General features: G+C 40.3%; 1 protein-coding gene across 5 annotated transcripts in view; it reads left to right on the forward strand.

The window, feature by feature from the left end:
• Window positions 1–26,868, forward strand: part of PCSK5 (proprotein convertase subtilisin/kexin type 5) — a 473,167-nt gene that overhangs the window by 363,968 nt on the left and 82,331 nt on the right. The gene's annotated exons all lie outside the window — the stretch shown is intronic.

Here is a 26,868-nt window from a genome sequence, read left to right on the forward strand (position 1 = left end):
ACCAATTTTATGCATATGGGAAATGACAGAGTAATTCAGAAGCAGTTTGTTTGGAGCAACCTTGTGCATAACTTTGCTCCCTGTCTTCACAAAGGAAGTAGTTGGCTTAGAAGCTCTTTGTTATAAGTAAACACTAGGATACACAGGGTTGTATTTCCCAAATCTCGGTGACTTCAAACAACACAGGTTTATTTCTCTCTCATGCTACATCTTCATCATGGGTGAGCTGAGAACTCTGCTCTGTGTGATCCTTAATTCAGGACCAGGTTGATAGAGCAGCCACTACCTTGCCATGGCAGACACAAAGCAGACACTGGCTCTTAGAGGTTTCTCCAGGATGTGGCACTTGTACCTCCTGCTTACGTATTTTTGGCTAAAGCAAGTTACATGATTACGCCTGGGATCAGAGAGTGGGGAGGTGCAATCTTACCATGTGCCTGCAGAAAAGAGAGAAAATAATGATTGTGTGTAATGGTGACAGTCTCACAGGGGAATGACTATGGGTCATGGGACTGTTGCTGGCATATTCTGAGCTTTCACATTGTGTGTTTGTACATGAAATAGTCCCAGATGTGTGCCCGATATGCTTCAATAAATTATTTCTCTTCTGCTCCTCTGAACTTGTCCATTGTCTTACCTTGGAAATGTCTAACTTTTTTCTTCTCTCAAAGCAACTCTTTTGAAGAAGTCACTATTTAAAAAAAAAAAAAAGATGAAATTTCCCCAAGTATTCTGTTATCTCACTTCTTTTATCTCTGGCAACTGATGAGTCAAGAAGAGGACCAGTGGTCAATGCCTTATAGTCAATAGGTAGGCTGTCAGCTAAAAGGAACTTGACCCTTCTTTAGTGTCATTTTTCAAATGCCTACTGTGACAATAGCAAGTGCTGCTGTCTCTTGCCTTTGTTTGCTGCCTAAAAAATGTATTCGCCCATATAAGACACGTCTTGGGAATCTGAACAGCATCTCTCAGTTTTTGAGTTAGATTCAAGAAATATTTCCTGAGCATCTACATCAGGCTAGACATGGGGATATAAAGATGAATAAAGCTTGTTCTTTGCTCCTAAGCTGCTCACATGCAAATGCGATAGGCCAGAAGTTCTCAGCTCTGGGTACATATTAGGATCCTGCGGAGCTGTAAAATGCAGGTGCTGATACCTACTCCCAATGTTTCTAATTTAATTAGTCTGGAGTGAGGTGTGGGCATCAGTATTTTTTTAAAACGCCCTGGCCAGGCATGGTGGCTCATGCCTGTAATCCCAACACCTTGGGAGACTGAGGTGGGTGGATCACTTGAGGCCAGGAGTTTGAGATCAGCCTGGGCAACATGGTGAAACCCCATCTCTACTAAAAATACAAAAATTAATTGAGTGTGGTGGTACAGACCTGTAGTCCCAGCTACTAGGGAGGCTGAGGTGGGATGATTGCCTGAGCCCGGGAAATTGAGGTTTCAGTGAGCTGTGATCATGCCACTGCACTCCAGCCTGGGCAACAGAATAAGACTCTCTCTCAAAAAAATAAAAAAAATAATTTTAAAAAACTCCCTGACTAATTCTAATGTGCAACCAGAGTTGAAAGCCACTGATTAAGATAGATATAGAAACAGATAACTTCAACATCTGTTTAAGATACTGTGTTGAGAATGGAAGCTGAAACAGAGGCAGATACATTATATTAGAATGTATTGTTCAGCTAGGTGGACATTTTACAAACATGACCTCTAATCTTCAATGTAATTCTCTCTGCTCAAAATCCTTATGATAGGCTAGGCTCAGTGGCTTACACCTGTAATCCTAGCACTTTGGGCAGTTAAGGTGGCAGGTGAGGGGAATCACTTGAAGTCAGGAGTTCAAAACCAGCCTGGCCAACACATCAAGGCCCCATTTCTACAAATAAATTTTTTTTTTAAGTTAGCCTGGTGCGGTTACACGCACCCATAGTCCCAGCTACTTAGAAGGCTGAGGCAGGAGGATTGGTTGATCCCGGGAGGCTGAGGCTGCAGTGAACTATGATGGCACCATGGCACTCCAGCGTGGGCAATGGAGCAAGATCCTGTCTCAAAAAGAAGAAAAAAATTCCTTATCCTCATTTTATAGATGAAAAAACCAATGCCCAGGGAGCTTATGTCATTTGCCTAAAGTTACACAGCTAGCAAGTGTTAGAGCCAAATTCAGACTTAGGACTGTCTGGCTCCAAACCCACAGACCAACCAAATAGTTGCTCTTTTTCCAAAGTAGACTGCACTCATACACTATTTTCCTAAAGAACATAAATGAAAGTTGTGCAAAGGTTGGTCTGCTGCATTTGTTTCATTCTTGATTACATTCTCTGTTCCTTAGTTGTGTCTCCTGACATTTCCTTTGCTCCTTCTCCAACATTCAAGCTCACATTCTTAGAGTTATGGGGGAGAAGAACATAGTGGCGAGGTATCTTAAGTTCAATTCTAGAGCAATTAGCTCATCATCTTGGCTCTTCATGCTATTACGCTATTTCCCCCGGAGCCGGGTATAATCGAAGTTCCTCCTACTTGTTGTGTAACTGACCTGCTAAGTCGAGCTGTGAGCCAAGTCTGTCTGGATCACGTAAGCTTGCAGAGAGAACTGAGCCAAGTACTTCCAAAACAAACCTCGTTAAACAAAAGCGGAGTGTGGTCGAGCCGGACACACAGGGTGGAGGGTTCAGAAGACCGTCTGCCAGTCTCGAAAGCAATGTGGGGTCTGTGACATTAAACGTCCAAGGGCAGTTGAGCTGGAGGGATGGATTCACCTTTACAGATGAATCTGGAAACCAGTGAGAATGATTCTGCATGATTAGGAATAATAACCTGGAAAATCATTGCCAAATTACTTCCTTTTAGTGAAATATCTTCGATTTTTCTGAAACCCTTAGTCAATCAAGACCCCAGCTCGTGCCTGTTCATCACGCTTAAAGAAAAATAAAAATGAGTCTGGCAGTAGTGACTAGAACTTCAGATGGTTAGGTCTCATTTAGTTTTGCAGGAGTGTGGAAAATTGAGTCAGAAATCTTAGTCTCTATTCATTTCCATCCTTCCCTTAACACAGTGAAAATCTTGGGCAAGCCCTTTACATTTTTTGTTTCTTAATTCTATCCTGTTTTATAAAGGAAAGCATCACATAAATTGCCTTCCTTGTACCTCCTAATAGGTCCCTAGAGATTATGATGAAAACTAGAAAGGTGCTCATATCTTGAGTTCTTCAAGAGAGAGGAACCAAGAGGCTCTATTGTGAATATCAAAACAGAATTTAATTTGCTTTCTCTCTACGTTCACCCTTTTTCTGAGAAGCCTGTTGGTGTATCTGAAGCCACATGTCTGACATGCACCACTGTGTCACAGCACTTAGCACAGTGCCTGTCAACAGGGAGGCACTCAGTAACTATCTGTGACTTCTGTGCCTGTTATTATCTGTCCTCATCTCACCCCCCAACTCTCCATCTCCCTATGCCACAACCAAACTGCTATTTCATAGATGGTAGGAAGAGCTTCAAGCTCCACTGGTTGAGGAGAAAAAAAAAATTGATTTAAGTCACAGAGCAGACACCAGAATAGAGAGATGCTGTGTGTGGATAAGACAGGAGCATCTGCATGTTGATACCCAGCTGCTCAACAGGCTGGTCTCCAACTGAGAGTTGGGCCAACGATGAGTGTCAGTAAATTGCCTCTGCACCTCTAGAGCCTGAAATTCCTGCTTTCCAAAAGTCAACAGGAGGGTAATTTGGTAGGCATCCAGACTCATCCTTTCCACAAAGTCTCTCTGCACCTCCCACCAGGGAAAATTTGGCTCCAGTCCTCCCCGCAGCCTCCAGTTCAGCTTCCAGCACAGTGGGCCAGCCGGGGCCGTCAGAAGCAGAACGGGGACTAAACGCTGCGGCAAGCTGGAGAAGGACCAGTTCCAGGGGCAGGATCTGGACAGGGCCATGCCTCACTGATCACCCTTTGGCCAAGTACCCCAAATTGAAGCAGTGGAAGGCAAGGGGTATCCAGGCTGACCTCTCCAAACCTTAGTCATGTTCTCATGGATGATGTGACTGGGTCAATCAAAACTTTTTTCCTCGCAGCTGTGCCTGTGACTATCTGTAGCAACCAACTTTCCTTTATGTATATATGTTTTCCTATATGTATATGTTTTCCATAAAGACAGTGTGTTCTGACTAGCTATAAACTATCCATTATTAGGTGAGACAAGTGAATATTGTTTTGTATGAACCAGGCAGGTAACCCAAGGATGTCTACCTCTCAGCTCCCTTTTCCACAGCTCCCAGGTACAGGGAGGGCCCTGGGGACACTGGGAGAACAGTCCCCACTCAATCAGATCACCAGGGCAAGAGCACAGACATGGCATTATCTCCAGAGGGGTAGGTGGTAGAACATTAGAATAGAAAAGTTTATCAGTCTCTCCAACCTCTGATATGGACCAGAAAGAGCTGACAGCCTAATTTATCATCATGGTAGAATTTTATGCCCTCAAATAATTGCTAGTAACCTGGATCTTCCACTGGAAAAATAAAATCAACCCAAAAATATAGGCTCCAGATTACCATGACCCCAGCATTTGAGTGATGACATTGAGCCTTTGGGTCAGGTTTGGAGGTGAGTCTTGAGAGAGAAGGAAAGTTCTTTTGAAGGGGTGCTTATTGGAAAGCCTAGTGCAATCATGCTAGCTGCCCAAGCTAATTGTAAAATTTCAGATTTATTGTGTTCAGCAGAAATACAGCCTGTACATTTGAAATATTATCCAAATGACCTGGCTTCAACTTAGAAATCTTACATGAATTGAAACAAGTGAATTAGGGAGACCTCTTGCCTTCAGCCCTAAAGGGTCTGTGGGAGGTAAGTCAAGAACCATTTATAATAGTGATAAAATACTATATTTAAGGCTGTAAAAATTTGGCATGCAAGAACTCAGCTCAGAAGTAAATTCATCTTATGTGCTCGGCAAAGGAGCAACTGGAAAGTTTTACAAATGGGAAGTTTGACCTACTGAGATTTTAAAGATAAATTATGTCAATTATTCCTTGAGAGTGAGTACGGTCATTTACCCCCTTGAATGTTGAAATGGAAATCCGAACCATGAAGTCAGTAACAACTTCACTTTGCCATGGTGCACGTGGCTAATGACAGTTACCCAAAGCCATTGTCCAACTGTCACATCATGTGCCCAAATGTGCATTAGTGGGATGGGCCACTTGGGACCCTAGCAAGCAACCAGGGAGAGCATCAGAGCTATGCCCAATTAACAAACACCTCATATGATGGCGCATGATGCTTTTACTCTGCCAAGAAGCCAGTGATCCTTTCCTTGGGAATTCTATAATATGTCTGTCTGAAGCTAGAACTAGTAGATAATGCTTGATGACTGACAGATGTGTACTTTTTTCAAAAGAGCCTTATTAACTTTAGTCTCCTGCACATCTCTGGCCTCAGTGTCTACCTCTTGTTCCTCACCTCCCTCTCCAGCTACACTGCAGGGCCCTAGTCATGATTGCTGTAGCCCATTCTTGCCCCAGGGCCCTGCACTAGCTATTCCCTCTACTTGGAATGTTTTTCCCAAGATACCAATGTGGCTGGGTCCTTCCTGTCATCACATCTCAGTTTAAATGTCAGCTCCTAAGAGGCTTATCCTCAGCACCCAATTCAGCCTCCCTCCCTCTCTGTCTACACTACACACACACACACACACACACACACACACACTCACTTCAGTCATCCTACTTTAATTCTAGCAGATCAGATATAAGTATCTGATATTTTGATGTTTTATTGACTTTTAATATCTGTGTGTCGTATTTCTTCCCTCACTTAAAATGTAACTTCCAGGCAGGCAGAGACTTGATCGATTCTATTTACTGTTGTTTCATCAGCTCCTTGAATCATGCTTACCACATGCAGGTAAGCATATGGTTGAACATGCTTGGTTGAACATCCATAATGTTCAACCAAGTCAATGTCAGCGTCCTCACAGGTAAATCTATGGTGAATGATTTGAAAGCGCCCTTGTGGAGCATGGAAGAGCCATACTTCAGTCTCAGGGCTCACCTCAGGTGAGTCGTTTCAACCCAGTCTATGGGTCTCCCTCCCTCATCTGGAAGCAGAGGGGACTGGACTGGACCAGTGGCCCAAATCAGCAGCTTGCCGCCTCTCTTCTGTGAAGCCCTTTCTCTTCCTCACCATCCACTTCTCCCTATTTAGCCAGGACAGCTTTGCTTTCATCTTGTTAGGTGTATTTGATTTTTCATAAGTTTTCATTTGGTAAAGGATTCTGCTGCTAAAGTAAAATTTTAAATCTCCCAGCTTAGATAAATCCTTCTGTTAGAAATTAATCCTGGCTCAGCTGTAAGAGGCTAGTTGTGTGCTTTGGGGAAACTCACTTAAGCCTCAGACTCCTCATGTAAATGGAGGATAATTTCCATATCTGTCTCACAGTATTGGTGGGAGTATTAAATGAGATAATCCATCTGTAGTAGGCAGAATAATAGGCCCCCAAAAGATGTCCATGCTCAAATCCTCAGAGCCTATGAATATGTAACCCTACACAGCAAGAGGACTTTGAAGATGAGATTAAGGTTAAAGATTTTGAGATGGGGAGATTATTCTGAATTAGCTAAGTGGACTCAATCTGAGCTCATGAATCTTTAAAGTGGAGAACCTTTCCAGCTGCAGTCAGAAAGACAGACGAGACAGGAGAGAAACCATCACTGATAGCCGTGAAGCTGGCAGAAGAGATGCCCCAAGCCAAAAAATGCAGGTGGCATCTAAAAGCCAAATACAACCCTCAGCTGATAGCTAGCAAGGAAATGAATAAATGGATATCTCAGGCCTACAACTGCAAAGAACCGAATTCTGTCAACAGCCCAACTGAATGAGGAAACAGATCCTTTCCCAGAGCCTTCAGAAGGAACCCAGCCCTGCTGCCACTCTGCTTTTAGCCCATTGAGATCTCTACCAGACTTCTAACCTACAGGACTGTGACATAATAAATTTTTATGTTTTAAGCTGCTAAATTTATGGAAATTTGTTATGGCAGCAATAGAAAACTATTTAACTATTACATTTAAACTATGTAATAAAGTACTTGGCACATGGGAAGGGCTCAATAAATGTGAGCATTTCTTATAAATATTATTAATGGGGTATTTATTAATATCATTATATTATATCAATAACCTCTTCCTGCCTTGATGCTGAGCTTTGAATTCTGAAACTCCATTTCATGCCTATCCTGAAGACGTTTACTCTTAGTTGCCTTACAAGAATTATTCACCACCTTCAAGGTCCAGGTGTTGTGCTGGATAGCAATTAGAGGAAATTTCTGACATGCAAAACCAAGTGTACAGATTAACAACACTAAAGAGGTACAGATGGACACTGGGTGCTTCCTGAGGTGATGTCTTAAGAAAGGCACATGACCCATGTAGTAGTTTGGCTGCAGATGCTAAACTTGAGTTTACACATGAGGAAACATCAGGACAATCCCAAATGAGAAACTTTATTAAAAATAAACCGTTGCCTTTCTCCAAATAGGAAAAGAAGTCAAAGTATCTCTCCTTGCGGATGATATGATTCTATACCTAGAAAACCCTAAAGACACTGCCAAAAGGCTCTAAGAACTGAAAAATGACTCTGGTAAAGCTGCAGGATAGAAAATCAATGTACAAAAATCAGTAGCATTTTTACACAGCAATAATGTTCAAGCTGAGGGCCAAATCAAGAATGGAATCCCATTCACAATAACCCCCTTCCTGCCCTCACAAATATGTAGGAATATATCTAACCAAGGAGATAAAAAATCTCTATGAGAACTACAAAACGCTGTCAAAAGAAATCAGATTCTTCCTACCCATGAGTATGGAATGTTCTTCCATTTGTTTGTTTCCTCTTTTATTTCACTGAGCAGTGGTTTGTAGTTCTCCTTGAAGAGGTCCTTCACGTCCCTTGTAAGTTGGATTCCTACGTATTTTATTCTCTTTGAAGCAATTGTGAATGGGAGTTCACTCATGATTTGGCTCTCTGTTTGTCTGTTATTGGTGTATAAAAATGCTTGTGATTTTTCACACAGATTTTGTATCCTGAGACTTTGCTGAAGTTGCTTATTAGCTTAAGGAGATTTTGGGCTGAGATGATGGGGTTTTCTAGATATACAATCATGTCATCTGCAAACAGGGACAATTTGACTTCCTCTTTTCCTAATTGAATACCCTTTATTTCCTTCTCCTGCCTAACTGACCTGGCCAGAACTTCCAACACTATGTTGAATAGGAGTGGTGAGAGAGGGCATCCCTGTCTTGTGCCAGTTTTCAAAGGGAATGCTTCTAGCTTTTGCCCATTCAGTATGATATTGGCTGTGATGGAAGAACATTCCATGCTCATGGGTAGGAAGAATCAATATCGTGAAAATGGCCATACTGCCCAAGGTAATTTATAGATTCAATGCCATCCCCATCAAGCTACCAATGACTTTCTTCACAGAATTGGAAAAAACTACTTTAAAGTTCATATGGAACCAAAAAAGAGCATGCATCACCAAGTCAATCCTAAGCCAAAAGAACAAAGCTGGAGGCATCACGCTACCTGACTTCAAACTATACTATGAGGCTACAGTAACCAAAACAGCATGGTACTGGTACCAAAACAGAGATATGGATCAATGGAACAGAACAGAGCCCTCAGAAATAATGCCACATATCTACAACTATCTGATCTTTGACAAACCTGACAAAAACAAACAATGGGGAAAGGATTCCCTATTTAATAAATGGTGCTGGGAAAACTGGCTAGCCATATGTAGAAAGCTGAAACTGGATCCCTTCCTTACACCTTATACAAAAATCAATTCAAGATGGATTAAAGACTTAAACGTTAGACCTAAAACCACAAAAACCCTAGAAGAAAACCTAGGCATTACCATTCAGGACATAGGCATGGGCAAGGACTTCATGTCTAAAACACCAAAAGCAATGGCAACAAAAGACAAAATTGACAAATGGGATCTAATTAAACTAAAGAGCTTCTGCACAGCAAAAGAAACTACCATCAGAGTGAACAGGCAACCTACAAAATGGGAGGAAATTTTCGCAACCTGCTCATCTGACAAAGGGCTAATATCCAGAATCTACAATGAACTCAAACAAATTTACAAGAAAAAAAAAAACAACCCCATCAAAAATTGGGCGAAGGACATGAACAGACACTTCTCAAAAGAAGACATTTATGCCACCAAAAAACACATGAAAAAATGCTCACCTTCACTGGCCATCAGAGAAATGCAAATCAAAACCACAATGAGATATCATCTCACACCAGTTAGAATGGCAATCATTAAAAAGTCAGGAAACAACAGGTGCTGGAGAGGATGTGGAGAAATAGGAACACTTTTACACTGTTGGTGGGACTGTAAACTAGTTCAACCATTGTGGAAGTCAGTGTGGCGATTCCTCAGGGATCTAGAACTAGAAATACCATTTGACTCAGCCATCGCATTACTGGGTGTATAACCAAAGGACTATAAATCATGCTGCTATAAAGACACATGCACACGTATGTTTATTGCGGCTCTATTCACAATAGCAAAGACTTGGAACCAACGCAAATGTCCAACAATGATAGACTGGATTAAGAAAATGTGGCACATATACACCACGGAATACTATAAAGCCATAAAAAATGACGAGTTCGTGTCCTTTGTAGGGACATGGATGAAATTGGAAATCATCATTCTCAGTAAACTATCGCAAGAACAAAAAACCAAACACCACATATTCTCACTCATAGGTGGGAATTGAACAATAGGAACACATGGACACAGGAAGGGGAACATCACACTCTGGGGACTGTTGTGGGGTGGGGGGAGTGGGGAGGGATAGCATTAGGACATATACCTAATGCTAAATGATGAGTTAATGGGTGCAGCACACCAGCATGGCACATGTATACATATGTAACTAACCTGCACATTGTGCACATGTACCCTAAAACTTAAAGTATAATAATAATAAAAGAAAAAAAAAAGAAATCAGAGATGACACAAACAAATGGAAAAATATCCCATGCTCATGGATTGGAAGAATCAATATCATTAAAGTGGCCATACTGCTCAAAGCTATGAGATTCAATGCTATTTCTATTAAGCTGCCAATGTCAATTTCACAGAAGTAGCAGAAACTATTCTAAAACTTATATGGAACCAAAAAAGAGCCTGAATAGGCCAAAGTCATCCTAAGCAAAAAGAAGAAAGCTGGAGGCATTACATTACTCAATTTCAAACTATACTTTAAAGCTACAGTAACCAAAACAGCATGGTATTTGTACAGAAACAAACATATGGATCAATGAAACAGATTAGAGAATCCAGAAATAAATTCATATACCTACAGCCATCTGCTCTGCAACAAAATTGACAAAAATAAGCAATGGGGAAAGCACTTCCTATTTGATAAATGGTGCTGGGATAGCTGGCTAGCCATATGCAGAAGAATAAAACTATACCCCTGTATTTCACCATATACAAAAATTAACTCAAGATGGATTAAAGATTTAAGTGTTAGACTTCAAACTATAAAAATCCTAGAAGAAAACCTAGGAAGCAACATTCTGGATATGGGTCTTGGGAAGGAATTTATGACTAAGTCATCAAAAGCAATTGCAGCAAAAACAAAATTGACAAGTGGGACCTAATTAAACTCAAGAACTTCTGCACAGCAAAAGAAACTATCAACAGAGTAAACAAACATCTGACAAAGGTTTAACATCCAGAATCTACAAAGAACTTAATTCAACAAGCAAAATAAAAAACCTTAAAAAATGAGCAAAGACATGAACAGACACTTCTCAAAAGAAGAAATACAAGCAGACAACAAACATGAAACAATTATCCACATCGCTAACATCAGAGAAATGCAAATCAAAACGAAAAGGTAACATCTCATACCAGTCAGGGTGGCTATTATCAAGCCTGTGGAGAAAAGAGAATGCTTATACCCTGTTGGTGTGAATGTAAAGTAGTTCAGCCACTGTGGAAGGCACTTTGGAGATTTCTCAAAGATCTTAAAGCAGAACTACTGTTTGACCCAACAATCCCATTACTGGGTATATACCCAAATATATCCAGTATATTTATATATACCCAAAAGAAAAGAAATCCTTCTGACAAAAAGACACCTGCACTCACATGTTTATCACAGCACTATTCACAATAGCAAACATATGGAATAAACCTAGGTGTCCATCAATGGTGGGCTGAATAAAGAAAATGTGGTACATATATACCATGGACTACTATGCAGCCATAAAAAAGAAAAAATTATGTCCTTTGTAGCAACATGGATGCAGATGGAGGCCATTATCCTAAGCAAATTAACACAGGAATAGAAAACCAAATACTGCCTGTTCTCATTTATAAAAGGGAACTAAACATGGGGTACTCATGGACATAAAGATGACAGCAATAGAAAACGGTGACTACTGAAGAGGAAAGGGAGGGAGGGGGAGGCGGGTTGAAAAACTAACTACTGGGTACTAAGTTCAGTATCAGTTATACCCTAAACCACAGTGTCACTCGATATACTCAGGTAACAAATCTGCACATATACCACCTGAATTGAAAATAAAAGTTGAAAAAAGGTGAAAAAAAAATTGCCTTTTAAAAACATCAATATCATCAAAGTCAAAGAAGAGCCAAGAAATTGTTCTAGATTAGAGGAAACTAAATAAATGAGATGAATAAATGCAATGCATGATCCTAGAATAGATCTCTATTGAACATTACTGGGTCAATTGAAATAATTGGAATATAGGTGGGAGAGTAGATAAATGTATTTATTAATATTAAATTTCCTGAGTTGAAACTTTCTGAAGAATGACTCTATTGTGGTTACATGACAGAACATACTTATTCTTAGGAAATACACACTGAAATGTTTATGGGTAAAAGACCACAAGTATCCATCTTAATTTCAAATAGTTCCAAAAAATGTATGTATAATATATAAAACAAGTGGGTGACCACCTTCTAAAGCAAATGTGGCAGAATGTTAACAGTAGGTGAAATCTAGGTAAAGGGTAAATATTTTATTCTTGCAAGTTTTCTGTAATTTTGAAGTTATTTTCAAATAAAGAGTTTTAAAAATTGCCCAATTCTCTTTGCAATCCTGTAAAGAGAAGGAAATATTAGCTCTTGGTGCCCATTTAAACCACAGTTTTTCTTTTGATTTATAATTGCATCTGATACCTATGTTATTATGCCTGCCCATTTTTAAGACTTTCACAATGTAGAGCTTTCAAAATTAGTATAAAGACAGAAAGCTTCTTCAAACATCCCTTCAGGTGCATTAAAAGTAAGCACTGGTTAAAGAAAGCACAGTTTTCATGTAATCCACTGGTTTTACATGCTAAGTTCTTAGTACTGAAGCATTAGCATAGTCCCTGGAAATATTCATTTAATAGGATAAATTATTTCTGGTAGGCTATATATCTCTTCAAAAAAGTGGCAAAGCTGTCAGCTAAACAGCTAGATGAATGAAGTAAACAGTCCATTGTAAAAAATAATTACATGGTACTTACTATATGTAGACATAATTGGCAATAATGGGCCAAAAGGAGGGATCATGGCAGCTTGGGTCAATCACAGAGGTCTCCAAATGTTTCTAAATGTGTGCCTATTTAATTCCCATTGCAAAATAAGCCCTTTCATCTTTCATAACATTGATAAAAAAACGTTGATGTTCACAGCAGTGTTTTTATGGAAATTGTGTCCTGATCCCCTCCATGCACATGCCAGAATCTATGAGCCTTCTGTGATCAAGCTCATCTCTCTTCCATCAGTGCCAAACTTCTTAGAAATACTGAAGATTTCTAAAATGGATCAATGCTTTGGCAAATTGCCTCATCACCAAGAATAAACACTCACAGACTTAAGCAGCCACTTGTGCATCTATCATTGAATAGAGCCTCAAGATACTGGAAGTGATGTATCAATGGCTTTCCTACCAGCCAGTTGCTTCTCTGGAAGCAAAGGAAACAATGCTGAGCATTGTCATCCATGTAATTTGTGGCCATTAGAAAGACTGGTAGATGCTCTTTCATTGAGACCCTTTGGACTAACAACACAGCCCATCTGGAGCACAAAACTGTAAACCTGGAAAAAAAATAGACTGCACAGATGAGCAGTTTCGGTGCACCTTCCCCATTCAGAGGTGCTAATAAGGAAAAATGCTGAATTACTATGATTACCCATGACTTGAAAATAGCTTATCACCTGCCAATCTGAATGAAGGCCCCTGGAGGGCTGTGAAATGCCACAAAGAACAATGGCCTTGGAATCAGAACCTGCAGTGTCTGAGAGAGGCATCCCAGTGCAAGGCTAAAGGGCCACCAGCCTTCTAAAATGGAGCTCTTATTCTCAGTAAACCCTGCAAACTGGTTCTGGGCTGTTCCCATGCCAGAGAGAAGGAAAATAGAAGTGCTTTCATAAAACAATCAGGCCCATAAAAGTAGAAATGCAGGGGAGAGAAAGCCAGCAATTATCCAAAAGAATCATATCTTAGATAAGCGGCCAATTTAAGGTATTTCACGGTGGGGCAAAGCTCTCTCCACATTCAGCAGATAATTGTTAGCCTGCTTTCTACTTTATGTGTGATTGTGTAAACTTAATCATACTGCAAAATCCCTCTTGTCTTCAGACCTCAGTGCCCCTGGAATGTTGTTAAAGTAGTCACATGAGGTTCATTAGGAAGAAGAGCTTGGCTTTGTAGAGACTGGGTATTTGGCTGTTCACAGGAATCTTTTCTTCGTTATCACAAAGCTCTGTGTTAAGACCATTGTAGACACTAAAGCAGAGTATCTCCCAGCTGAGCAAGACATAATATCTCAGTGGTGGCCTGCCCCATTGGCAGGTGCTAAGCTTTTATTTTTATTATTATAATGGCTTTGTTTCCCCATGAACCATTTAGATGAAGTATGACCACAGTCTGAGTCTTCACTTATGGCCAACTTCTTCTCTTAATTTACTGTGGCATCAAAACAATAAGGATTTATTTATAAATTTTTGTTCTCTTTAAGAATGGATACAAGGAGAAAAGTCTCCCAAAGTTGAAGAGCATTGCCTTTTTATTCAGTAATGCACTGCCTACCCTCCCAAAATGCACACACATGCTTATGGGTATACACACACACACACACACACACACACACACACACATTTGTGGGTCTGCCTTCCTTCAAAATGTTCTAACGTGGGACTGGTGAGGTGGATAGGCTGACTTGTGCCACAGACTAAGACATCTGCCATTAATTGGTGGGACAGCAAATAATGTAAAAATATGTTTTCTCTTTCACTAGCTTCTCTAGACAAATCAGCTTTGTGTTCCTAGTGCTGCTTCTAAGTTTCTTTCCTCTTGTTCATAATTCCTAGCTCTCAGATTGCCTTTGAAAAGCTGCCACTTTTGGAGCAGAATGATCTGAGAGGGTGTTTTCCCTTTTCTTCCCCACCCACCCCACACATACGCACATACACGTGCTTGTCAGCTGGTAATGCGTTTCTCTATACCTGAATCATAATTCACTACTTTTTCTAAATAACACCAAGTGTTTTTTTAAAGCCCACAGTGATAAGAGTTGTTGCTTTGTTTGTTGACTGGTGGTGGCCCACATGGATTTGTATGGTTCTCAGTCATAATCAGTCTAAAACATATTTCCTCATTACCTGGTGTGTACCCCAGTCTGTAGTATAAGGAGAAACTAGAAGATACAGTTTTAATCTTCAAAAACTAGAAGCGGCTGGGTGCAGTGGCTCATGCCTATAATCCCAACACTTTGGGAGGCTGAGGTGGACAGATCGCTTGAGCCCAGGAGTTTGAGACCCGCCTGGGGAACATAGTGACACCTCATCTCTACAAAAAAATACAAAAACTAGCCAAATGTAGTGGTGCACACTTGTAGTCCTATTTACTTGGGAGGCTGAGGAGGGAGGATCACTTGAGCCCAGGAGGTCAAGGCTGCAGTAACCTGTGACCGTCCCACTGCACTCCAGTCTGGGTGACAGAGCAAGGCTCTGTCTCAGAATCAAAACAAAACAAAAAACAAAAACAAAACTAGAAGCACCAGGCTAGTGATCAGTAAAACTGGATTTAGTCCTCAAGCTGCCACTAATTAACTGTTTGGCTTTGGCCAAGTCCCTAAAAATTTCTAGTCTCAGTTTCTTCATCTGTAAAATTTGGAAAGGGGTGAAATTCATATCTACAAGTGCCAGGCAGGTACCATGGTCAAGTGGGCCAGCTGGGGACTGAGGCCACAGGGCATCCCCATCTACAGGAGTCATTTGCTCCTCAGCCCCAACCAATTGCTGCATGCAGAACTCGAGGTAATTCAGACTTTTATGAAAAATCTCTTGATTTCCTTAAATATAGTTTAAACATTGTTTGTGCTGGCTGAACAAATCATTTCTGCAAAGTATATTCCAGTCCACCACTTCTAGACTCCTGGCACTCTCAAGTCTCTCCTTCCCTCTTTGTGTGTTGTTTAGAACCATTCAGCAATTGACATCCAATCTAAGTGTTCAGGGGAGTGAATACAACCCAGGAAAGATGATCACGATATTCCTCGGGCTACCAAGTGATTAAGAATTGCACCGATCACTCATCACAGTTTCAGCAGGTCCAAGTGTTACTAGTAAAAATTGAGATGGATTGTTGACTTTTGAGAAGGAGAAGAAGCTTAAAAAGGGTATTAAAGAAAACAAAGCTCCATTTGTAACTAGACAGCATTTCCACCCGGCAGTATACAAAAGAAAGAACAAGTGGAAGTGCTTCTGTATAATTTGCTACACAACTCTGGAGCTTCAGCTAAACCTCCTATAGCTGTAAGCAATAAAAGCACAGAAGTAGAGAGAAGTAACCAAAACATACCTAGTATTCCATAGAAGCCATCACATAACACAGAGGACAAAAATGTGTAGCAATAAATAACACATGGAACATAGCAAAACTCTCAGATCAAGAGAAACATTTTTGAAGAAAACTATTTCCAAAATTTGTGAAGTTTTAAAAAGGTAGAGCAATAGGCCAAGGCTCCAAACCTAGAGGGAAAGGATAGATTCTCTGGCTGGTGCCTCCTGATTAATGAATAGAAAGTGATCCAGTTGCTATAGTGACTTGAAGATACACAAAAGAAAACATCACTTCTTTAAAATATGCCTGATGATGAATAGGCAGATTCTTTCAAAATATTTTTTTAAAAATATGAGCAACTCTTTTTTTTTTCTTTAAAGTGAATCACACAGGATGTCTCTTAGATTTCTTTCTTCTTTTTTTCAGATAACAGGACTTGTTTACACAAGCCCTAGTTTGTTTACATGAACCAGCAATTCGGGCAAAAATTAATGATCAGAAAATACGTCTGTTGGAGAATAAGTTTTGTTTTTCAGCAGTTTTGTTTCTGTTTGAGCAGCAAGGGAGATAAGTGTATGTTGTCTTGGTTTTCCTTTTTTCCAGCAATATATTTATTTGGAGAGTTTCCTCGGATGCTGAGAATGTGAAATGTACCTAAGCAATCAGGGAATGGAAGGTTGTGTTTGCTGAAACCTTCCCTTATCTGTCTGAATGGAGAGGTAATAAAAAATATTATTTTGGTGGGACTGAATGCCCACTCCCTTTGGCTCTCCAGCCTGGCCCCCACAATCTCCAAAGGATTGTTCTGTTTTGCTCCAGGCAGTTCAGCCTTGGCACAGTATCCTGAATAGAGGACATTCAAGGCAAGGTCTTGAAATAAAAACTGCAGTGATTAAATATCCTGGGGACCCCTTCTGTGGGGGATGGAGAACTCTTAGTTGAATGATTTGGGTAAACTGTTGGCACAAGGTCCCAGCTGAAGTGTCCCAAGGCCTGCAGCCTGGAGAGACATTCTTTAGCTGAAAATGTGATGTGGGCTTTTGCTAACCAGCAGAGGGGTCAATGATCTTGAACAGCATCCTAAGCCTGTGTAATATGGTCTTTTAAAGTGGGTGTGTGAATATTTTTATTAAAGGATATGTAATTTTAAATAAAGGTAATTCACAGGGGAGTAGGGAAATCACTTGAAAATCATAGGAAGAGAAGTTCCCAAACCTGCACCTGTTCTGTGTGATCTTGGACAAGTAACTGAGGTTTCTTGGGGCTCAGTTTACTCACCCCTAAAATGAGGAAGTTAGATCACTTTAAAGTCAGCAAACATATTAAGTGCCCGCTGTGTACTATCATCTTCCACCCATATCCCCAGATCCCACTCCTGAGTCCCAGGGATCCAAATACTGCACCGTTCAGCTGCTCAAGCCAAAACTCCAGGAAACCCATCATTCCTCCCCCTTTCCTTGGGCTTCGTTGAAATAAAAAGGTAATAATCACACCTCTCCCACAATTCAGAATCAAATGAGCATTAAGGGAGAAAGGAGATTATACAGAAAAAAAATCAAAGCATCAGCTTTATTCCTTATAAGGCCAAAAGGGAAAATATGAATTAGATCTCTGAACTGCGAACTTCCTAACCACTCCCCTCTGCATTAACCTTCCCATCTCTCTCATCTGGGCATATGAGTTCCTTCTCCCAAACTCACCAATTCACACATGATAAAGCATTCCTCTTTTCACTAAGAAGAAGTAGCTGAATTTAAAAGAAGTGGCAGCTCTCTTTCGAATATTTTAAAGATCAAGGCAGGAACACATGGTATCCCTAAATGTAAGTTACATTTTAGTTTCCCAGAGCTGCTGCCACAAAGTACTATAAAATGAGTGGCTTAGGCCGGCAGGGGGCTGACACCTGTAATCTCAGCACTTTGGAAGGCCAGGGCAGGAGGATCGCTTGAAGCCAGGAGATAGAGACCAGCCTGGGCAACATAGCAAGACCCCATTTCTAAAAAAAAAAAAATTAAAAATGGATGGCTTACAACAACAGAAATGTATTCTCTCACAGTTCTGGAGGCTGGAAGTCCAAAATCAAGGAATTGGCAAGGTTGGCTTCTTCTGGAGGCTCTGAGGGCAAATTCTTTCTTGCCTCTTTCTGGCTCCTTGTGGCTGCTGGCAGTCCTTGGCATTCTTTATCTTGCAGCTGCATAACTCTCATCTCTGCCACATAGTCTCATGGCCTTCTCCCTTCTGTGTCTGTGTGTCTGTGTCTTCATGTTTATACAGAAATGAGTCATTTGATTTAGCTTAGGGCCCACCTTAATGTAATGTGACCTCATCTTAGCAAACTGATTACATCTGCAAAGACCCTATTGCCAAGTACATAGAGTATTTGAATATGTACTATGTACTTAGAGTACTAAGAGTGTTACTATGTATACTATGTACTTAGAGTACTATGAGTGTGTACGTAGAGTACACATTCATAGGTAGGTAGTAGGTATTAATGTTTGGACATATCATTTTGGAAGACATAATTCAACTCACAATGGTTGAACAAGTCTTTTCTACTTCCTAAATATTTTTCGCTCTGTCTACTTCTACCCATCTCAACAACTATACTTTAGTTCAGGCCACAGACACCATTCCCCCAGATACCACATCAGTCTTCTAACTAGTCTCTCTGATTCCAGTCTTCTTCTATTCTCTCATTTTCAAAAATCCACTCTCTCCTCTAATAATGGCCTTCTTTCTGAAATGTAAACCTGACGGTGACAACTGCCTACAAATCTAAAATGACTTCCCATGGCCGTGGATAAAGTTCATACTCCCAGCCAGGCGCAGTGGCTCATGCCTGTAATCCCAGCACTTTGGGAGGCTGAGACGGGCGGATCACGAGGTCAGGAGATTGAGACCATCCTGGCCAACATAGTGAAACCCCCATCTCTACTAAAATACAAAAAAATTAGCTGGGCATGGTGGTGCATGCCTGTAGTCCTAGCTACTCGGGAGGCTGAGGCAGAGGAATTGCTTGAACATGGGAGGCAGAGATTGCAGTGAGCCGAGATCACGCCACTGCACTCCAGCCTGGTGACAGAGTGAGACTCCATCTCAAAAAAAAAAAAAAAAAAAAAAAAAAAAATTCACACTCCCAAGAATGCCATAAAAGCTTCTTCATTATCATTGATCTTCAGCCACTGATCTGTCCAGCCTTTCCTCTCCTGCCTCTTCTTGCTTCTCCAAGCATTTCTACTTCTTACTCTAGCTACCCCAAACTCTTTGCAATCTACCTTGGTACTTTCCCCATCCTATTATTGAAAACCTGCATGTTTTTAAGACGGGGGCAACTATGCTATATTTTGAGGTCTTGTCACTCATTCTACAGTTCCCTCAAGGGGAACTGAATAAATCCTTTCATTAAAGGAATCATCTCTGTAGATTCAGCTCTCTCTACATGAATGCCTTTCTTTCCTTTTCTGCCTTCTGTCTGTACCACTCCCTCTAATTCATCTTTCAGGTCTCACCTAAGCTTTTGCTTCCTCAAGAAACCATGATTTGAAGGCTCTCCCTACACACATACACACATGTGCTCTAATTTAGGTATCACTTTATTTTCTTAGCAAATTGTTCAGAATCCTCTTAGCAATACTGAAAACACAGAATTCATTGTGATATCTTTCTACTTGCTTCATTCCCCCTGACTCTGAGCTAAGTATTGTACTAGGAATTAGTCTCCTTCATAGCCTCCTTCTTTCATCCACCAAATTTCATTGCCCCTTCTCAAGGTGTTTCTTCTTACATACTATGTCTCTTTATCACTCTCCCTGGGCTAACAGCTGTTTGCTTTCTTGGTTATTCTGTAATTTCACTGTGATGAGTCTTCTTATAGATTAACAAAATAGTAATATATATATACATATATATATATATATATATTTGTACTGCTTCTTGAAATTAATCATGGGGATTTATTGATATTATTATTATCATTACAGACAGTATATCTCTGTCACCCAGGCTGGAGTGCAGTGGTGCGATCATAGCTCACTATAGCCTGAAACTCCTGGGCTCTAGAGATCCTCTTGCCTCAGTCCCCCAAGTAGCTGGGATTACAGGTGCATGCTATCATACATAGCTAATTTTTAATTTTTTTTTTCTTTTTTTTTTTGTAGAGACAGGGTCTTGCTATATTGCCTAGGCTGGTCTCAAACTCCCAGGCTCAAGCAAGCCTCTTGCTTTGGACTCGCAAAGTGCTGTGATTGCCAGCATGAGCCACTGTGCCCAGCCAGATTGGTGGGTTTTGTTTTTTTTTTTCCAACAATTCTGGAACATTTTCAAGGATTTTATTGTTATCAAATATTGTACCTTTCCCATTCTCTCAGTTATCTCTTCGGAACTTTGACATTTTTTAGCCCTTCTCATTTTAACCTCCACGTTTCTTAACCACCCTTTCCTGTTTTTTAGCTTTTATTGCCTCTATGGGTTGAAGCTTCTATCTTTTCTTTATATCTATCTTTGAGTTTACCTAATTCTTTTTCTGCTATGCCTAATCTACTGTTTAATCTATCCACTGAGCTTTAGATTCTAATTTTTATGTCTATCACTTATAGAAGTTATATGTAGTTGTTTTACAAACCACACGGTTATTTTATATTTTAAGATGTTCTTTTTATTTCTTTAAAAATTTTAAATATTTGTTATTTTATATTTTGTACCAGCTACTTTCAAGATCTGTAGTCTCTGTGGGTTTGATTCTGGTGTTATTTCTGCTGACTTTCTCTCATGGTGACTGATTTCCTTATGTGGTCTATGTTTTTAAACTGTGACCATTTTCCTTGAAAATTTACCCATGAAAATACTTTAAGGCCTGGGTTAAGATTATATTTTTTAAGAGAAGATTTGCATTTCCTTCTGTCAATGGTCTTAAGGCATTACTTACCTGGAACTACTTGAAACTGAATTTTCCTTTTGAGATGTTCTAGAACACACAAGTAACATGAATTATGACTATAAACCTATGTGATATCTAGCTTAGGGTTACACATTCTCAAAGGGGTTTTTTTGTTGTTTTATTTTATTGTATCTACCTGTCTTAGTCCATTTGTATTGCTATAAAAGAATACCTGAGGCCAGGAAATGTAGAAAGAATAGAGGTTTATCTGGCTCATGCTTCTGCAGGCTGTACAAGAGCATGGCTCCAGCATCTGCTTCTAGCGAGGGCTCCAGGCTGCTTCCACTCATGGTGGAAGGGGGAGAAAGCAAGGGGAGGGGAGGCACCAGGCTCTTTTGAACAAGCAGCCCTCATAGGAACTCTCACGGGAATTAGTAAAGCAAGAACTCACTCATTCCCAAGAGGACAGCACCACCCCATGCATGAAGGATCCACCCATATGACCCAAACACCTCTCATTAGGTCCTGCCTCTAACATTGGAGATAAAAAAAAAATTTATCCTTTTTTTAAAAATATTGTTTTTATACCTATTTGAATGGGAGGAGATAAAATTTTAACATGAGGTTTGGATGGTCAAATAGCACTACTCAATGCTAAGGATGAGACCAAGATAATTTTTTCCTGTCTCTTCCTCCTGAAAAGTTTATTTTTCATCCATCCTTCACTAAGACTGCAATCCATGTGTTCCTATCCCAGCCCTGCATTTTATCTGACAACCCTAACTATAATAAGAATGCTCTGAATTTGCCCATTAAGCAAGATTTTAAAAAAGCTATTTTTTGTTTGTTTGCTTCTTTGGTTTTTTGGGGGTTTTTTGTTTGTTTGTTTTTCAGATGCAGTCTCTTTCTGTCACCCAGGCTGGAGTCCAGTGGCATGATCTTGGCTTACTGCAACCTCCGCCTCTCGGATTCAAGTGATTCTCCTGCCTCAGCCTCCTAAGTAGCTAGGATTACAGGCATGCACCACCACACCTGGCTAATTTTTGTATTTTTAGTAGAGACAGGGTTTCACCATGTTGGCCAGGCTGGCCTCAAACTCCTGATCTCAAGTGATCCACCTGCCTCGGCCTCCCAAAATGTTGGGATTCCAGGCATTAGCCACTGTGCCTGGCTGATGAAATACTAATTATGTGGGAAGACAGAAGAGAGAGAATCATAACTTGGCTTCTTTCAGCCTGAAAAAATATTTCTGTGGTACACTACATTAGAGGTTTCTCCATTCTATCATTCGCCACACTGTGATTTCTCTCTAATTAGCTTTGTTAATTACTGTCCCTTCGCCAATTTGCAAATTCCTTGAGGTAGGGACTGCCTTTCTCATCTATACTCGTTACAGTATCCAAAGCAGTGGATGGACTGTAGTGTGGGATCAATTAAGTGTTTATTACTTCTAAGTCGACTTCACTGCTGGGTGCTCCTCTTCTCCCATCCATCCAGGTGCTTGGACAAGGCCGCGGAGTAATCCCATTCCCTCACCCCACACATCTTATCATTTAATATTCTCAATTTTATTTCTTTACTTTCTCTCAAATCTGAGTTTTGCTGTTACTGCACCCACAGTCTTAGTTTATCCCTAATCATTTCTCCTCTAGGATATTCCTAAAAATATATAAATAAATAAAAAAATAAAATAAAATAAAAGTTTCTTGAGTGTGTTACATAGAATCTAGTTGAGCAAGATTTAATAGATGTATCTGTTTCTGCAGTTAAATAAGCCATTACCACACAGTAGACACAGTCATCATTTTAAATAAATCAGATCACATAGGTCATTTTTACTGAAGCTTCTCATGCCCTCCCATTACTCTTCGATTAGAATGTAAACCTCCTATCCTGGCCTATAAGATCCTATATGATCTTGTCCTGCCTATGACCCTGGCATCACCTCCTGACTCTCTCCCTTTCTCTCCATCTCTTCCAGCCCCACTGGCCTTCTTGATGTTCCTTGAAGGGGACAAGCTTTCCCTGGCCTCTGTCTGGAACACCTGCCCTCAGAACCTCCCATGCTAGCTCTTTGTTATCATTCGAATCTCTACTCAGATGTCAATTCTTGCAAGACACGGCCTCACTAGCCCATCTAAATTAGGGCCTCTCCTCTCCACCCCAGTCTCATCACTCTCTAACCCTTTATCTGAATTTACGTACTTACTTATGTGTTTTCTTCACCCAATGCATATTTCTGGAGCATCTGCTATATACCAGCAGTTCTTGGCACTGGAGATACAGGAAAACAAAACAGAACAACCTGTCTTCATGAAGCTTGCGTTTTACTGTTTGCTTCATGCATTTATTGAACAAAAATTTATGCTTTGTTTTCATTCTAATAATTATCTAGGCTGGGTGCAGTGGCTCACTCCTATAATCCCAGCATTGTGGGAGGCCAAGGCGGGTGGATCACCTGAGGTCAAGAGTTCGAGACCAACCTGGCCAACATGGTGAAACCCTGTCTCTACAAAAAATACAAAAAAAATTAGTGGGTGTGGTGGCACAAACCTGTAGTCCCAGCTACTAGGGAGTCTAAGGCAGGAGAATCGCCTGAATCTGGGAGCCGGAGGTTGCAGTGAGATCATGCCACTGCACTCCAGCCTGGGCGACAGAGTGAGACTCCATCTCAAAAACAATAATAATAATAATCTAATTTTTTCTTTTTATTATGTCTTCCCCCCAAAGAATGAAGGCTTCAGAATAAATGAATACGTGAATGAATGTACAGCGTTAGTGAGTGATCCCTATAGGAATTGCTGCATATTTTCATCCATCACTTCTACCTGCTAGTCAGTCTAGAGAAGCATGGAAATCCACAAACAGCTTGCCTATTATGATATTCCATCACTGGAATTAGAGGACTCGATAAAGACTAGAGACCAATAGAAGACTGAACCCTCTTTAGCCAACATTTGTAGACAATAATTTCAATTACTTATTCCAGTCTCTTCTACCACCCTGTCCCTCCAGGGAGTTGTGCCCCACTGTCAGTTGCACCATTTGCATTACTGCCGATTCAAACATTTATTCATTATCCCTGGGCACCGATGAGGACAACATGATTGAAAATCACTAGCAAACCCCCAACCAAATACTTTGTATCCCAGCACCATTGAACCTTCCAGAAAAATCAGCTTTGGCAAAACTGTCAGAGGATCCATTTTGTATTCGAGTGTTAATTATTTGAGGCAATTCTAAGTGCAAGACCTATTTGAATTATGTACTTTTTAGTGTTATTTGGGGCTTATAATTAGTTGCACTCTTTGGGAATATAAATGTTTTACCCAGTTCATTATCTTCGGGTGGACTGAAAAATGTCAGTGACTCTCCTGCAAATTTGTACAGCGTTGCTCAGTAAGTAAGTATATATTTACCCTGGGAGAATATGCATTATTGACAATTTACTTAATTATCTCTCAAAACAATTCAAGTATTGGCTGCTTATAATGCTGTCTTTCTCCTCAAAGGGAGCAGTAGGACATCTCAACAGGGGTGGACATGCTGCTGCTACTCCAACAAGGCTGCAGGTGCTCATATAGAGACTTGTTTAAGAATGCTTGGCCCCACTGAAAGCCACGAGTCTCAGGAGAGCCAAGAATAACCCCATCTCGTATTCATTGGCCTCCTTTGCAAAATTGTATCAGAAAAACAATTCGTTTTAAAAGTGAATCTTTTTCAAGGAGATTATACAAACATCTGCCACCATTTAGCCACACCCCACGGAAGAACATCAGTCCTGTCCTGGTGGTGTAGAATTAGGAAATGCCAGGAGACAAAATGGGAAGATGAGAAAATAGGAGTGGGCAGGAAAGAAAGGAACAAAAAAGTAAAGAGCTTAGCCAAATGACAAGCTCCCTCATGGGAGATCTGTGGGAGGATGCTGTTTTCAAATACATGACCCAAATGATGTCTAGAACTCAGGACCTGAGCTTTTTTTTTTCCTTAATAACATTTTTGTTTTAACCAATTCTGTAACACACATTTATTTTAAAAGCATAGAAACATATATATGTATATGTAAAGCAAAAATTAATATTAATATTTTAGCTTTTTGCCTTCTGATTTTCAATAAAGCCATCTCTATCTGTCTATCTATCTATCTATCCATCCATCCATCCATCCACACAGGTAGGTATCTACCTACCATATACATAGAGATGGATTATCATCATTTTTTACATAGCCTATCATGAAATGTTTCTGTGTCATTAAATACTCTTGAGAAACAAAATTTCAATGTCTATTAGCCCATCTTATATAAGTGAACAGGCATATCTCATTTTACTGCATTTTGCTTTATTGTACATTGCACATGTTGCATTTTTTTTATTATACTTTAAGTTTTAGGGTACATGTGCACATTGTGCAGGTTAGTTACATATGTATACATGTGCCATGCTGGTGCGCTGCACCCACTAACTCGTCATCTAGCATTAGGCATGTCTCCCAATGCTATCCCTCCCCCCTCCCCCCACCCCACCACAGTCCCCAGAGTGTGATGTTCCCCTTCCTGTGTCCATGTGATCTCATTGTTCAATTCCCACCTATGAGTGAGAATATGCGGTGTTTGGTTTTTTGTTCTTGCGATAGTTTACTGAGAATGATGATTTCCAATTTCATCCATGTCCCTACATAGGACATGAACTCATCATTTTTTATGGCTGCATAGTATTCCATGGTGTACATGTGCCACATTTTCTTAATCCAGTCTATCATTGTTGGGCATTTGGGTTGGTTCCAAGTCTTTGCTATTGTGAATAATGCCGCAATAAACATACGTGTGCATGTGTCTTTACAGCAGCATGATTTATAGTCCTTTGGGTATATACCCAGTAATGGGATGGCTGGGTCAAATGGTATTTCTAGTTCTAGATCCCTGAGGAATCGCCACACTGACTTCCACAAGGGTTGAACTAGTTTACAGTCCCACCAACAGTGTAAAAATGTTCCTGTTTCTCCACATCCTCTCCAGCACCTGTTGTTTCCTGACTTTTTAATGATTGCCATTCTAACTGGTGTGAGATGATATCTCATTGTGGTTTTGATTTGCATTTCTCTGATGGCCAGTGATGATGAGCATTTTTTCACATGTTTTTTGGCTGCATAAATGTCTTCTTTTGAGAAGTGTCTGTTCATGTCCTTCGCCCACTTTTTGATGGGGTTGTTTGTTTTTTTCTTGTAAATTTGTTTGAGTTCATTGTAGATTCTGGATATTAGCCCTTTGTCAGATGAGTAGGTTGCGAAAATTTTCTCCCATTTTGTAGGTTGCCTGTTCACTCTGATGGTAGTTTCTTTTGCTGTGCAGAAGCTCTTTAGTTTAATTAGATCCCATTTGTCAATTTTGTCTTTTGTTGCCATTGCTTTTGGTGTTTTAGACATGAAGTCCTTGCCCATGCCTAGCACATGTTGCATTTTTTACAAATTACAGGTTTGTGGCAACCCTGCCACAAGCCTGTCTCTACCACTCCTCCAATAGCACATCCTCACTTTGTGTCTCTGTGTCACATTTTTGTAATTCTCACAATATTTTGAACTTTTCATCATTATTTTATCTGTTATGGTGATCACAGTGATCAGTGATCAATTATAATTGTTTTGGGGCACCATGAACCCCACCATGTGAGATGGAACTTAGTTGACAAATGTGTGTGTTCTGCCTTTTCCACTGACGGCATTTCCCTATATCTCTTCCTCTCATCAGACCTTCCCTGAGATATAATAATATGGAAATGAGGCCAGTTAATACTTTTACAGTGGCATCTACATGCTCAAATGAAAGGAAGAGTTGCAAGTCTCTCACTTTAAATCAAAAGCTTAAAATTGATTAAGCTTAGTGAGGAAGGCAAGTCAAAAACAAAGGTAGGGCCGGACACGGTGGCTCACACCTATAATCCCAGCACTTTGGGAGGCCGAGGCAGGAGGATCGCTTGAGCCCAGGAATTAGAGACCAGCCTGGGCAACATGGGGAAAACCCGTCTCTACTAAAAGTACAACAATTAGCCAGATGTGGTGGTCTGTAGTCCCAGCTACATGGTGGGCTGAGGTGGG

Source organism: Homo sapiens, chromosome 9 (assembly GCF_000001405.40).
Source record: "Homo sapiens chromosome 9, GRCh38.p14 Primary Assembly".
Lineage (NCBI taxonomy): Eukaryota > Metazoa > Chordata > Mammalia > Primates > Hominidae > Homo > Homo sapiens.